A 14747-nucleotide genomic window follows, 5' to 3' on the forward strand; every position below is an offset into this window, starting at 1 on the left:
AAGTGCTACCCAGGGCTCATGATCTGAATCTGAGTGCTCAAAATCAAGTAGGTTTATGGTCCTGAGCATGTTAAAGCCAGCATGTTTAATAGGAGTTTAATAGGAGAGGAGTAGTAGAGATTCTGGTTCTGTTTGAGGCAGGAAGTTCACATGTAGGGCTGATATTGTCAGATTTTCTGATTTTCCAAAAGAAGCATGAAGTCCAGATTTTTTATGTGAAATATCTCACTTGATAAATCTTAACTAATTTATATTGTGTAAAAAAAGACCACAGGGACCAGATAAAACATGTTTGTAGGACACATTGCTCTGTGGCTACTAGTTAGTAACCCCTGAAAAAGCCTTAAGGTAGGATGAGGCAGGGCAGGGCAGCGTAGTTGTGGCACATGGTTTGTGTTCCCAGGGGCAACAAGAGTAATTCCATTTCAGTTTGGAGATCCTTGTCTAAAGCCAGTACATTTTGCTCAATTGATCATTATTTTTCTTTGGCTGAGTTAAGTAGCATTCTTCGCTCTTTCGCTAAAGGATCAATTCCTTGTCTCAGGAGCATTTGAAGCTTCTGGATGAGGATTAGAATGATTGAAATCTATCTGTGACCCTGTGGAGTGACTCCAGGCAAGTCTCAGATGCCTCTAACCCTCTCCATCCAAAATGCCCAATGCAGCTAGGTTTCTTTTAAGATCAGCAATGATTATTGTTTTTCTCTCTATGCAGAAACTTGCTTCAAGAAGGAGTCTCTACCTTTTAAGTGCCAGGCTAGGAGCCTCTTTATTGGACCACATTAGATCTTCCCTACAGCCCAATTTTGAATTATTATTTTTATTGCTTTCTTATTCTTTAACACTCAAAAATCTTTGGAAACATAAAAGCCTGTGATGTAGTTCATGTTGTGAGTTAAGGGAGGTACAAGAAGTGTGTCATTTCAGGTCCTCTGAGAAACACATGCCAAGATGGAATTAGGCAGAGCATAAATGCACGGGGGAGAATGTATGTGAAGGATATAGGGTGTGGGAGCAGGAGTGGTGAGGACAGCCCTCAGGCAGCAGTGCAGGCCTGGCACTTGCTGAAGGAGAGTGGAAAGGAAAGAGAGTTGGGTAGGAAGAATCTAGACTACAGCATAGCTCCAAGAAAGCCACAGCCAGGCTTATGGGAAGCCCAAGAACAGAGGAGTTGCCACTGGACAGGACTGGCCTGGCTGTAGTACATCTGTTGTGCCCAGGGAGGGGGAGGCCTCAGTGTGAAGGCTGCAGGGAGCCCAAAGGATCCATAGTGTAAGGCTGTCATCCTGCTACTCCTGGTAGCAGGTTCTCTCAAAGGGAGATCAAAGTGAGGTAGGAGGTGAGACTTTACTTTGAAGGCAGGGTTCAGATACTGGACCAAATTGGGGACTAACTAAAACAAGTCCAGGGCAGAAGCACCACCCCATAAGACACGCCCATCACTGTGCCCTGTCAGTTTACCATTACCATGGCAACACCCAGAAGTTCCCACCCCTTTCTGTGGCAATGACTTGACAACCTAGAAGTTACCACCTCTTTTCTAGAAATTTCTGCATAAACCACCCCTTAATTTGCATACAATTCAGAGCAGGCATAAAAATGAGTGCAGAACTTCCTCTGAGCTGTTACTCTGGGCCCACTGCCTATAGGGTAGCCCTGTTCTGCAAGGAGCAGTACCTCTGCTGCTCCTGTGCACTGGGCGCTTTCATCAAAGGCTGTTCAACACCATTGGCTTGCCCTTGAATTTTCTCCTCGGCAAAGCCAAGAACCTTCCTGGGCTAAGCCCCAATTTGGAGGTTCATCTGTCCTGCATCAAAAGGTGCTTTCTTGTGACCACCACAATCAGCAGGAAGGTTTTCGTGATTTCATAAATATGTGGTTATTTTTACTTATTTTTATACAATAAGAGGGAGGAGATTGTGGGGGTTCAAAGTTAGTCCTGGCTTTGTGGCTCCATCACTGTGCTGGCTGTGACCTTAGGCAAGGAGCTAAATTTCCTTATCCCTTTTGTTTATTTACTCGTTTATTTTTGTTTGTTTATTCGTTTGTTTTTTTAAGAGTCTTGCTTTGTCACCCAGGCTGGAGTGCGGTGGTGTGATCTCGACTCACTGGAACTTCTGCCTCCCAGGTTCAAGTGATTCTTGTGCCTCAGCCTCCCGAGTAGCTGGGATTACAGGCACCCATCACCACTCTTGTCTGTTAATTGAAAACAGTGAAAGTATCTCTCCCATGGAATTACTTTGAGAGTTTTGATAGAAGGTATGCAAAGTGCTTAGCACAGTGCCAGGTACCTAGCAAGTATTTTTACTTTGGAATATATTATAAGATGAGATCTAGGCTAACTATCCACTGATGATTACTTTGATTTTAGAGGGTCTTGTTTTTTGAAATGATATTGTTAAGGTGAGTCTGGTCAGTAGGCAAACTGAAATGCATGTATGGACAATGACCCCCAGCTCAGCCTGAGTCCCCCAGCAGCACTCTCCCACCAACCCTGTGAGGTAGGTTTTATTATGTTTAGTTTACAGATGAGCAAACTGAGGCCCAGAAAGATCTTGGTGATTTTGTGGAGCAAGTCATTCAGGAATGACCAGAGTATTGCATTGCATCCCCTTAGTTAATGATGGGCAGGTGACCCAGTAAGAACCAAGGAGATGTGGTGAGACTGCCCAGGGTAGCTGCGAAGATGTTGAGCTCTTTTACTAATGGTCTTGGACCAGGGAGAATGTGAGGCTGGTGATGCTGAAGCTGTCTTACCTGCACAAAGGTAAGCCTCTCTGAGAATGTGGCAGAGGCAGAAATATTTGGCCTTGAATGAGTGAATCTAATAGCCATCCAAACCCTTTCTCCTATAACTGCTCTTTTTTATTTTTTAATTTATTTTTGTTTTATTTTATTTTTAAAAAATGTTTGTGGGTATATAGTAGGTGTATATATTTATGGGGTAGATAAGATGTTTTGATACAGGCATGCAATGTGAAGTGAGCACATCATGGAGCTCTAACTACACCTGAGGAGATTGCTAGTTGTTTCAAAATACCCCTCTTCTTCATCATGTGACTAACAGAACTCCTCAAGTTTTAGCTGGGCACATGGCTACCCAAGTACTACATTTCCCAGCCACCCTTACAGCTGGTTGTGATCATGTGGTTATGTTCTGACCAATAGCATATGGGCAGAAGAGAAGTGATGAATGCAACTTATGCATTGCATCCTTAAAAGAAAGCTTCTTGCCCTTCTCTTATACCTTCTCCCTTCTTGGCTAGGATATGACAACGGAGTGACTGGTCAGACTGCAAGGAAGAGGCAGAACCCTTTCACAATCTTGGGTACGGTTTGTTCTTTGACTGTTATATGAGGCAAAACCAAACCAAACAAAAAACACTGCTTCTACTGCAGGGACCAAAAAAGCTTAAAAACGTACTTTCCCAGCCTCCTCTGTGGCTAAAGTGGCCTCATGGCACTGATGTATTCAATCAACTGGAAGCAGAGGTCAGCTGGGAACTTTGGGGATTGATTTACTTTTCTGGATAAAAAAAAAAAAAATCGGAAGTTAGCTAGCCTCTTCTTTCTGCCTTGAATGTCTAGAGCTGGACCTGTCCTCCTGTGACCCTGAAGACAGTAGAGCTGAAATGAAGAAGGAGGCTGGGTTCTTGATGACATTACTGAGCTGCTGCATAGTAACGTCATCTATGCCTATTCTGGGCTGCTTGTTGAATGAGAAAAATAAACCTCTCTCTGGACTTCTTATGTGAGAAAAACAAACCACACTTTGTTGAAGCCTCTGTTAGCTGAGTTTCATGTTATTGCAGCCCAAATGCCCAAATATCAGTGAAACTTAGTGGTGTGTCAGACAGCCCAGATGTTGATGATGTCATCTGGCCTTCTGAATACAACTGTGCCTGAGACTAAACCCAAGCCCCTGGACTTTTCAGCTATTAGAGAAAGAGTAAGTTCTCTTTCTGCTTAAGCAGTTTAGGCTGGATTTTCTGTGGCCTGGATGGAAAGACCCCTGATACAACTATGAACCAATAGCAACTAGATACATTCTGTTTTCACCTCCTCTTAGTCTCTCCCCTGATTTTACGGTTAAAAAAAAAAAAAAAAAAAGTAAAATTAGAGCAAGGAAAGAAAGAAGAAAGGAATAAAGAAGGAAGGATAAGATAAGAAACAATAGAAGACTTGAACTAAATTAAAAGAGGTTAGAGGCCAGGCACGGTGGCTCATGTCTGTAATCCCAGCACTTTGGGAGGTCGAGGCAGGTGAATCACGAGGTCGGGAGATCGAGACCATCCTGGCTAACACGGTGAAACCCCGTCTCTACTAAAAAAAAAAAAACAACACACAAAGAAATTAGCCGGGCATGGTGGTGGGCGCCTGTAGTCCCAGCTGCTCGGGAGGCTGAGGCAGGAGAATGGCATGAACCTGGGAGGTGGAGCTTGCAATGGGCCGAGATCACACCACTGCACTCCAGCCTGGGCAACAGAGCGAGACTCTGTCTCAAAAAAAAAACAACAACAACAACAACAAAAAAAAAAACAAAAGGTTAGAAGCTTTTACAGTTCCTTTGTTTGGAAACCTGGGTCCTAGTGTCCCTTGCGCAGGATGCTCGTTTCTGACTTTTGTGGCCTGCCCTTGACACCATTCGAGCATATGGATTTCAGTGGGTAGTGTGACTCAGCTTCCCATTCCCAAAACTCCAGAGCCACATTGCTGGGTCCCTTCACTCTGCTTTACTCTCCTCCCAAGACAGACGTAGCATGGGCCACGTGAATTCATCCATGTCCTGAACTAATCTGGTTGTTCTACCAGGTTACTCTTAAGTTCATGGGCCATCACCCCCTTGTACTTACTGAGCTCCAGGGTTTTCATCTCTTCTGAGAATCGACCGTTTAGTCCAATCTTAGTACAGACCAGCATTAATAGGCAATTACCACAGGGAGATAATACAGAGGGAAAAATGGCTAAAAATATACAGTGAATCACAGAAAATTACATCTCTTAAAACCTACAGTGTATTCCTATTGCCATAGCAACCCTTGGCTAGTAAAGACAGAGATGATTTATCACAGGCTTTCCCCGGAGCTCGGTTCTGCCGGAAGCACCTCCAGCCTGTGGTGAGTTCCAGCGAGGAGGGCAATGCAGACATCATACAACCGGGTTTTCTCTCCTCCATCCCTTCCAGTGGCATTTCTGCGGCAAGAAGACTTGAGTTCCTTCTATATAACCCAGGTCATCTCCCGGCCCCTTTTCTGAGATGAAAGTGGCTGTCTCTAACCTCTGACAACGCGGCGTCCTGCCGACACGATGTGAATGCCAGCGGCAGCAGTGCGCTGACTTCCAGGAGGGGGCAGTGGGGCTGGGGGACATGAGGAGGCTGTAGGTGCCAGACCGTCTGAACAAATGAGGAGAGGAGAGGAGTTCTTTCTCCTCCTGTTCCTTTTCCTCCCTACTTCTCTCTCACCTTCCCACTTCCCTGACTCTCCTCTCTACCCTGCTACTTCCTCAGTAGGTCTACTGTGAAATGGACTGGACATACATCAGGACCGGGAGAAGAGAGAGGAAGTCATGTCCTCACTTAGGAAATGAGTCTGGTCTTTAGGAAGATTATAAAATGTATGTAAATAAACATCTTGTTATTTCGTTGGAACTCTAAAATTCACTGGCATAGATGCTGTGCTTTCTCATAATGTTAAAAATTAGATTCTTGAATGCTGTTTAAACATTCATAATTTGGAGAAATAGCCTGGACCAGAGTTTTGGAGAATCCACCTTCAAAAATAACCCTAGCTGGGGGGCAGTAACATGCACCTGTAGTCCCAGCTAGTCAGGAGGCTGAGGTGGGAGGATTGCTTGAACCCAAGAGTTTGAGGCTGCAGTGAGCCATGATCACCTCTGTAAATAGCCACTCTGCACTCCAGCCTGTGCTATGTAGTAAAAGATACCCTGTTTCAATAAAAAAAAAAAAAAAAAGAAGAAGAAGAAGAAGAAGCTGGAAGGAGCTCCCATTCAAATCTTGGACAATCTGAACTTTTAAAAAATAATAATAATAATCAACTGGGCACGGTGGCTCATGCCTGTAATCCCAGCATTTTGGGAGGCCAAGGCGGGTGGATCACCTGAGGTCAGGAGTTCGAGACCAGCCTGGCCAACACGGTGAAACTCCATCTCTACTAAAAATACAAAAATTAGCTGGGCATGGTGGTGAGCACCTGTTTTCCCAGCTACTCGGGAGGCTGAGGCGGGAGAATTGCTTGAACCCAGGAAGCGGAGGCTGCAGTGAGCCGAGATCACACCACTGCACTCCAGTCTGGATGACAAAAGGGAGACTTCATCTAAAATAATAATAATAATAAATTGGATAAAATGTGAAAATCTAAGTCCATATTAATATAAGCAAATAAATAAATGGAGAAAAAGAAAAAGGCTTTCCTTAGAGTAAAATTACAACTAATATAGGTATAAGAAATGATAAAATTAGAAAATGACCATTTGGTAAACCTTAGAGTCATTAATGATTCAGGCAAGAATTATCAAGGGATGTTAAAACTAGTGGGTAAAAATTTGATGAGAAACAGTGTATTTACACAATCTCAAAGTAGATCCTCATAAAACACCTATTGATTTCAAAGAGAAAAATAATAACTTTACAGTAGAGAGGACTGATAATCCCCACCTGAATCAAATGATCAAAGTTAACATCGCAAGGGACAAATGGGACAGATTGATAGCATATATCTCCTGATGTATGTGTGCTGAAGGACATGATATCACCTCTGTGGTTTTCCTGCCAAAAAGGTACAACCGGAATCTAATTGTGAGGAAACATCAGACTAATTCAAAAGGAGGGACAGTCGATTAAATAAATGGCTTACATTCTTCAAAAATGTCAGTGTCATGAAAGACAAAGCTGAAGAACTATTCTAATTGAAGAAACCTAAAAAGACATGATATTGCTGGCCGGGCGCGGTGGCTCACGCCTGTAATCCCAGCACTTTGGGAGGCCGAGGTGGGCAGATTAAGAGGTCAGGAGATCGAGACATCCTGGCTAACACAGTGAAACCCCGTCTCTACTAAAAATACAAAAAAAAAAAAAAAAATTAGCGGGGCGTGGTGGCGGGCGCCTGTAGTCCCAGATACTCGGGAGACTGAGGCAGGAGAATGGCATGAACCCGGGAGGCAGAGCTTGAAGTGAGCCGAGATCGCGCCACTGCACTCCAGCCTGGGCGACAGAGTGAGACTCCGTCTCAAAAAAATAAAAAAAGGCCGGGCGCGGTGGCTCACACCTGTAATCCCAGCACTTTGGGAGGCCGAGGCGGGTGGCTTACGAGGTCAGGAGATCGAGACCATCCTGGCTAACACGGTGAAACCCCGTCTCTACTAAAAAAATACAAAAAATTAGCCGGGCTTAGTGGCGGGCGCCTGTAGTCCTAGCTACTTGGGAGGCTGAGGAAGGAGAATGGCGTGAACCCGGGAGGCGGAACTTGCAGCGAGCCAAGATCGCACCACTGCACTCCAGCCTGGGCGACAGAGCGAGACTCCGTCTCAAAAAAAAAAAGTCGTGACATTGTTAAGAGGTTGGATTGGATGTTGGATCAAAACATTTTTTTCTCTTTATAAAGAACATTATTTTGCTCTTATAAAGAACATTATTAGAATAACTGGTGAAATTTTACATCAGAAAGATGTATAGTTTAGATAATAGTGTTGTGTCAATATTAATTTCCCGAGTTAGATAATGTATTTGAGTTATGAAAGAGAATATTCATGTTTTTTAGGAAACATACACTCAAGTATTTAGGGATAAAGGGGGATCTTATCTGCACCTTACTCTCAAATGGTTCAGAAAACAGTCTACATAGGGAAGGAAAATCAGAAGCAGACAGGGTGAAAAGGACACAGGAATTGTCTGTACTCTTGTATTTTTCTGTGAAAAGTACTTTGTGCTTTTCTGTAAGTCTGAAATGGTTTCAAAAGAAAAAGTTCCCCATCTGCAGACTCAGAAATCCTTTTCAGTGAATTTTCTTCCCAGTCTTTTCTTTCCCTCCCTCTGATGGTATGCCTTAGTATTTCCGTCCTCACAGCTCCCTTTACAAAGCAGAATTCTGTCGAATGGGGGAGTGTGAGGAAGGGGTGTGTGTGAGTGTGTGTGGGGGGTGAGTGTGTGTGAATGTGTGAGGGTGTGTGGGGGGTGTGTGGATGTGAGAGTGTGTGTGTTATGTAAGAGTGAATTGTGAGTGTGATATGTGAGTGTAGGTTGTGTGTGTGTAAATGTGTGAGTGTGTGTGCTGAGTGTGTGGGGGTGTGATGGTATGTGAATGTGTGTGGGGTGTGTGTGTGAATTTGTGTGTGATGTGAGTTGTGAGAGTGTGTGTGAATTTGTGTGATGTCCGTGAGTTGTGTGTGATGTGTGAGTTGTATGTGATGTGTGCGTGTTGTGTGTGTGAATTGTGTGTGATTGTGTGTGAATTGTGTGAGTGTGTGATATGTGTGTGTGAAAGTCGTGAGTGTGTGTGTATGTATAGTGCAACTACTCCCTCAGGATGTCACAGAGGCAAACCATAAAGCCGGGATAAAGTCAGTTGTTACGATGCCGAATAAGGCCAGTGAATGAAGTCAGAAGCCCCTTGGTGGTTCTTTTCAGGTTTCTGTGGACAGGAGGGCGTGGTCTCGGCGGGATGCACTGACCCAGCTCAGAGAGCTGAGAGCATGTGAGAAACAAGACCGAGTTCCTAGTCTGCATGCTCGCCCGCTCTCACTGTCTCCCCCTCCCCTGCTCTCTTTCTCACACACTCCTCTCTCTTTCCTCTTCTGTCCGAGAGTGCCTTTGAATACTCTGGAACCAGGTGAAGGGGCCATTTTCTCTCTGGGACAGACATCTCTCCACAGCAGGGGGACGTTCTTCCCTGGGGCCAGAGAGCAAGGTTCAGTATGCAGAGCCCGCTAACTTTGGGTTCAGACCTTGGCAGGGTGGGGTGAGGGCAGCCTTGTGAGGTCTAATGCCTCCTCCCCCTACATTTGGTCTGGCTTGTTTAGAACCTCGTATCCAGGTCCAAGAACCTGGATACAAGTCCCAAAGCACTTACCCTAATGCCTGCACAATGGTCATGGCATGAAAAGACTCCAAAGGCAGGTTTGCCAGATGCTGCATTAAAATTCATTCCCCTACTTTCTCTAACAGCCATTCGCTTTAATTCACTCATCTCACTATCATGAGCTGCAGCGAAGCAGAAAGTGGTTCTGCTATTTTTAAATGATCCCAATGGAATGAAATAATGTCTTGATTCCTTCCCAGTGGTCTAGGGACAATCAAAGTGAAGACTAGGGGATGGGCAAGGTAGAACTCACCCTCTCTTGGAAGTGGGCATCTATCTGTCTGACTCTTAGCTTTTTAGAGCACTGGCTTTTGCTTGGAGGGAAACATAGAGAAGAAAAAAGATAGAGTCATTTTCAGTTCTGAAAAGATATTTGTCTCAATCCACCAACATCAACCAGATATGAGTTATATAAATCAAATAGGCACAGAGCTTCAGGCTAGCCTGTGACAAAGAAAATTTAAATATTTAAGAGCCAGTCATGAAGGTACCAGGAAAGGGAGATAAAAAATAAATAATTAAAATTAAAGAAAGAGCTGGTCAACCCTTATCTGATCAGCTTGGAGTTCATTTTCACTCCAAGACACTAAGTCTAAGCCCTTTTATTTTTTACATTTTATTTATTTATTTAGCGACCAAGTCTTGCTCTGTTGTCCAGGCTGGAGTGCAGTGGCGTGATCACGGCTTATTGCAGCTTTGACCTCCTGGGCTCAAGTGATCCTCCCCGCTCAGCCTCCCAAGTAGTTAAGACTATAGGTGCACACCACCACACCTGGCTAATATTTATTTATTTATTTATTTTGTAGAGATGGAGTCTCACTATGTTGCCCAGGCCAGTCTCGAACTCCTGGCCTCAAGTGATCCTCCCATCTTGGCCTCCCAAAGTGCTGGGATTACAGATGAGCCACGGAGATTGGCTAAGCCCTTCTAAAAGCCATACGCTGTTCATTCCTGTGGAGAAGGTGGACCCCATGGCTGGGGCCAAGGTTGTGTATTGATTACAGAGGATCCAACTTTCTGCTCCTCATGTGGCCCATTTGCCCACATATTAACCTCCAAATGGCTTTCCTCCAGGGATGCTATGTACAAAATAGCAGCATCTTTTGGCAATCAAGTGGGAATCAGTCAACTAATAACTAGATATTAAATGTAGACCATACTCAGTGCTTGGATAACCCTGTAAAAAATAAAAGTAGCTCTGGCCAGGTGGGGTGGCTCACGCCTGTAATCCCAGCACTTTGGGAGGCTGAGGCAGGCGGATCATGAGGTCAGGAGATCGAGAGCATCCTGGCTAACATGGTGAAACACCGTCTCTACTAAAAATACAAAAAATTAGCTGGGCATGGTGGCGGGCGCCTGTAGTCTCAGCTACTCGGGAGGCTGAGGCAGGAGAATGGCGTGAACCTGGGGGCAGAGCTTGCAGTGAGCCGAGAGCATGCCACTGCACTCCAGCCTGGGCGAGAGAGCCAGACTCCGTCTCAAAAAAAAAAAAAGAAAAAAAAAAAGTAGCTCTAAGATGGAAGTGTGTATGATGAAGAAACTCCCTGCATCATCACAGTAACTGAAACGGGGATAGCCAAGAAGGGCTCCTTCATCTGGGCTGATTCACTCAGACTTCTAGGGCCTAATGCTGTTGGAGGGATTTTAGTGTTTTTTTTCAAGGTTTCCATGTGGCAAGATAGCATTAACTCTTAGATGGAAAATGCACCGTTTTCATAGGGCAACATATACCTTATTTTCTTTTGCCATCTGAGGAAGCACATTAACAGTTTCAGAGCCAATATTTATAATTTTAGCAGAAATGTTCTCACAAAGATCTCAAAACTCCTATAACAGACTTGTGAAAGAATTACTATATTTAAGGAGTGGGAAGTCTATAAGAAGCTCCATGGCAGAGGGAGGAGTTGAGCTGAGATGTCCAAGACCCAGAGCCTTTCTCCAGTATTGTGGGTGGTGGCTGTGAGTTGGGATGGGTATCACTGTTGTCTTGTAGGGGTGAGTTTTGCCAGGGATTCTATTTTCCACATACCATCTCGGCAATGGTTTATTTTGGTGTATGCTCAGAACTTGGGCAAAATTATTGACTATAAATGGGCTTAAATCTCTCTTCTAGTCGATTGAGTGCATACTTAGGACATAGTATTTTATGACACCATTATATTCTATGTATCTTGATTATAGGAGAACGCTATAATCCTATTGTATTCATCATATTCACTGTAGTGAGTTAAAGAAGGTTTAAAATTCTTTGCCTCTCTTACTATCAAGAAGTGTGGTCTATTTTCTATTTCTTTGAAACAGACCAACTCTGACACTGGTTTTGACAAATAGAATACACTGGAGGCCAAACACAGTGGCTCACATCTGTAATCCCAGCACTTTGGGAGGCCAAGGCAGGTGGATCACTTGAGCCTAGGAGTTTGAGACCAGCCTGGCCAAAGTGGCAAAACCTTGTCTCTACAAAGAAATTTAAAAAATTAACTGGGTATGGTGGCACATGCCTATAATCCCAGCTACTTGGGAAGCTGAGGCAGGAGGATTGCTTGAGCTCAGGAGGTTGAGGCTGCAGTAACACTGTATAACTTCTAAGGCTGGGCCCTAAGATATCCGTAGCTTCCAATTTTGTCCCATTTGGGAGCAGTTGCCATATAAGAAATCTGGTTACCTTGAAACTTCTATATCATGAGAAAGCTCAACCTTACCACGTGGAGAGAGGGACCAAGTGGAGAAGTGCTGAGGTGCCAGACACGTAAGTGAAATTTTCTTAGACCTTTCTGTCTAGCCACTAGGTAAATGAAGCCTAGTAAATGACCTCAGCCAGTGGCATGAGGAACAGAATAACCACCCAACAAAGCTCTGTCCAAATTGCTGACTCAGAGAAACATAAGCAAATATGATGATTGGTTTAAGCCAGTACGTTTTGGGGCAATTTGTTAACTAGTATAACAGAAACATATCGAATCAAAGTTGATGGAATTAGTGACCCACACACCCACCCCCATTACACAGCAACAACAGGATCCAGATGGATAAAGCTTCTTTATAGTCATTCAAATAGCAAAAACCTTACTGAGCTGAGAGCAGAGCCCAGAAAAATCCCCAAATTCCAGGTGTGGTCTACATGATATTAAATGGAGATATTTTTCTGAAAGCAACTATTTTCCCTCATACCGCTTTTCTGTAGTATGTTGCATTTTTCTTTTTTATTTATTTAATTTTTTGTTTTGTTTTGAGATAGGGTCCCACTCTGTGCCACAGGCTGGAATGCAGTGGCGTAATCTGGGCTCACTGCAGCCTCAACCTCCTGGGCTCGAGCCATCCTCTGTGTCAGCCTCCCTAGTAGCTGGAACCACAGATGTGTGCCACCATGCCTGGTGAATTTTTCTATTTTTTGTAGAGACAAGGTTTTGCCATGTTGCCCAGGATGGTCTCAAACTCCTGGGCTCGAGTGATCTACCCACCTCTGCCTCCCAAAGTGCTAGGATTACAGGCGTGAGCCACCTCACCTGGTAGCTGTGTCTTTCCCACACTGGCCATTATACCTCCCTACTGTAACCCCATTCATTTATTTTATTTTTAAAACAGTCCACAGAATATCATAATAGTAACATGTGTAAACAATGTAGCTACCCGATAGTAGAAAAAAGGATAAATAATTTATAGTACATCCACTAAAAAAATCACCAACTTGAATCTCTTAAATTTAATGCTACAGAAGGGTATCTATGGGCATTGAGAGATATTCTTCTCAGGGAACCTGCCCCGATAGTCACTTAGGTTCTTTTCTATTTTCCCTAAGCGTCGGCCGGCTTGAGAAATAAAGGGACAGAGTACAAAAGAGAGAAATTTTAAAGCTGGGCATCCGGGGGAGACATCACATGTCGGTAGTTTCCGTGATGCCCCACAAGCCACAAAAACCAGCAAGTTTTTATTAGGGATTTTCAAAAGGAGAGGGAGTGTGCGAATAGGTGTGGGTCACAGACATCAAGTACTTCACAAGGTAATAGAATATCACAAGGCAAATGGAGGCAGGGCAAGATCACAGGACCACAGGACGGGGCAAAATTAAAATTGCTAATGAAGCTTCGGGCACCACTGTCATTGATAACATCTTATCAGGGGACAGGGTTTTGAGAGCAACCGGTCTGACTAAAATTTATTAGGTGGGAATTTCTTCTTCCTAATAAGCCTGGGAGCGCTGTGGGAGACTGGGGTCTATTTCACCCCTACAGCCTTGACCATAGAAGACGGGCACACCTAGGGGGGCTGTCTATAGGCCTATACCCCCAGGTGCGTATTCTCTTTCCCAGGGATGTTCCTTGCTGAGAAAAAGAATTCAGTGATATTTCTCCCATTTGCTTTTGAAAGAAGAGAAATATGGCTCTGTTCCGCCCGGCTCACCAGCGGTCAGAGTTTAAGTTTATCTCTCTTATTCCCTGAACAGTTGCTGTTATCCTGCTCTTTTTTCAAGGTGCCCAGATTTCATATTGTTTAAACACACATGCTCTACAATTTGTGCAGTTAATGCGATTATCACATGGTCCTGAGGCAATATACATCTTCCTCAGCTGACAGGATTCAGAGATTAAAGTAAAGACAGGCATAGGAAATCACAAGGGTATTGATTGGGGAAGTGATAAGTGTCCATGAAATCTTCACAATTTATGTTTAGAGACTGCAGTAAAAACAGGCATAAGAAATTATAAAAGTATTAACTTGGGGAACTAATAAATGTCCATGAAATCTTCACAATCCATGTTCTTCTGCCATGGTGTCAGCCGGTCCCTCTGTTTGGGGTCCCTGACTTCCCACAACATATTTCCAATATATGTCATGGAACAGTGTTATCCCACTTTTAAAAGTCTTATATACAGTATTCGTATATGCCTAGAAGAGGATATGATTTGTAATAAGGTAGAGAAGAATATGGGGACTCTGCATGCTCTTATTTGAGTTTCCTGAAATAAGCATGTCATAACATGCTTTTGTAATATGAAATGGTGAGAAAAGTGCTATTTAGGAGGTAGAAGTAGTGATGGAATGGAGGAAGTCTTCTCCAGGGAAGGGGAATGAGGCTGAAGCGCTGTGACTCAGAGAGAAACACCTGTGGTGTCCGGAGTTCCCCATTTGCTATTTGCCCTCCTGTGCACGGAATCTGTGACAGGCAGCCTGCCAACGACATGACCTCTGTTAATGACAGCTGAAGTCTGGGCTCGTGTAGATTCTTAAGCAGAATAGGAATCAGAGTCAGAACTGTGGTTATTAGATGAGTGGCCTTGTCAGAACTTTATCACCAAGTAGTATTTATTAAGCACTCTCTTGCTTTAATGAGTCAGGAAATAGGGTTCTCGTTCCCTTTATCATTCACAGTTGTGTTTCTCAGCAAGTGCAGGGCTCCCTTCCTAAAATGGCCCAGGACCCTTTCTCCTGAAGCCATATTACTAGGCAGAATGTTCCAGGGATGCAAAGTGTTGAGTCAACTACAGAGTATTAACTGAATGTCTCATTGCTCTCTGGGACTTTTTATTCTGGCTCTCACTTCTTCTCCCTACCTCCTACCAGAAAATACAATAGTCAAATCTGTGTACAGTGAAAATCTGTTGTCCAGTATCTCCTTTTCCCTTCCGTTGGAAACATCACTTTGCTTTCCTTT

General features: G+C 43.9%; 6 annotated features.

The window, feature by feature from the left end:
- Nucleotides 3447-3546: an enhancer, noted in NCBI's record as "active region_8542". NCBI's record gives its function as "activates an Ori minimal core promoter by ATAC-STARR-seq in GM12878 lymphoblastoid cells {active_cell/tissue: GM12878}" and the evidence as "EXISTENCE:reporter gene assay evidence [ECO:0000049][PMID:35858748]".
- Nucleotides 5110-5169: an enhancer, noted in NCBI's record as "active region_8543". NCBI's record gives its function as "activates an Ori minimal core promoter by ATAC-STARR-seq in GM12878 lymphoblastoid cells {active_cell/tissue: GM12878}" and the evidence as "EXISTENCE:reporter gene assay evidence [ECO:0000049][PMID:35858748]".
- Nucleotides 5190-5359: an enhancer, noted in NCBI's record as "active region_8544". NCBI's record gives its function as "activates an Ori minimal core promoter by ATAC-STARR-seq in GM12878 lymphoblastoid cells {active_cell/tissue: GM12878}" and the evidence as "EXISTENCE:reporter gene assay evidence [ECO:0000049][PMID:35858748]".
- Nucleotides 8571-8865: a silencer, noted in NCBI's record as "tiled region #433; HepG2 Repressive DNase unmatched - State 4:PromP". NCBI's record gives its function as "represses a minimal TATA promoter and a strong SV40 promoter by Sharpr-MPRA in HepG2 cells {active_cell/tissue: HepG2}" and the evidence as "EXISTENCE:reporter gene assay evidence [ECO:0000049][PMID:27701403]".
- Nucleotides 13979-14178: an enhancer, noted in NCBI's record as "active region_8545". NCBI's record gives its function as "activates an Ori minimal core promoter by ATAC-STARR-seq in GM12878 lymphoblastoid cells {active_cell/tissue: GM12878}" and the evidence as "EXISTENCE:reporter gene assay evidence [ECO:0000049][PMID:35858748]".
- Nucleotides 14249-14338: an enhancer, noted in NCBI's record as "active region_8546". NCBI's record gives its function as "activates an Ori minimal core promoter by ATAC-STARR-seq in GM12878 lymphoblastoid cells {active_cell/tissue: GM12878}" and the evidence as "EXISTENCE:reporter gene assay evidence [ECO:0000049][PMID:35858748]".

Source organism: Homo sapiens, chromosome 14 (genome assembly GCF_000001405.40).
Source record: "Homo sapiens chromosome 14, GRCh38.p14 Primary Assembly".
Classification (NCBI taxonomy): domain Eukaryota; kingdom Metazoa; phylum Chordata; class Mammalia; order Primates; family Hominidae; genus Homo; species Homo sapiens.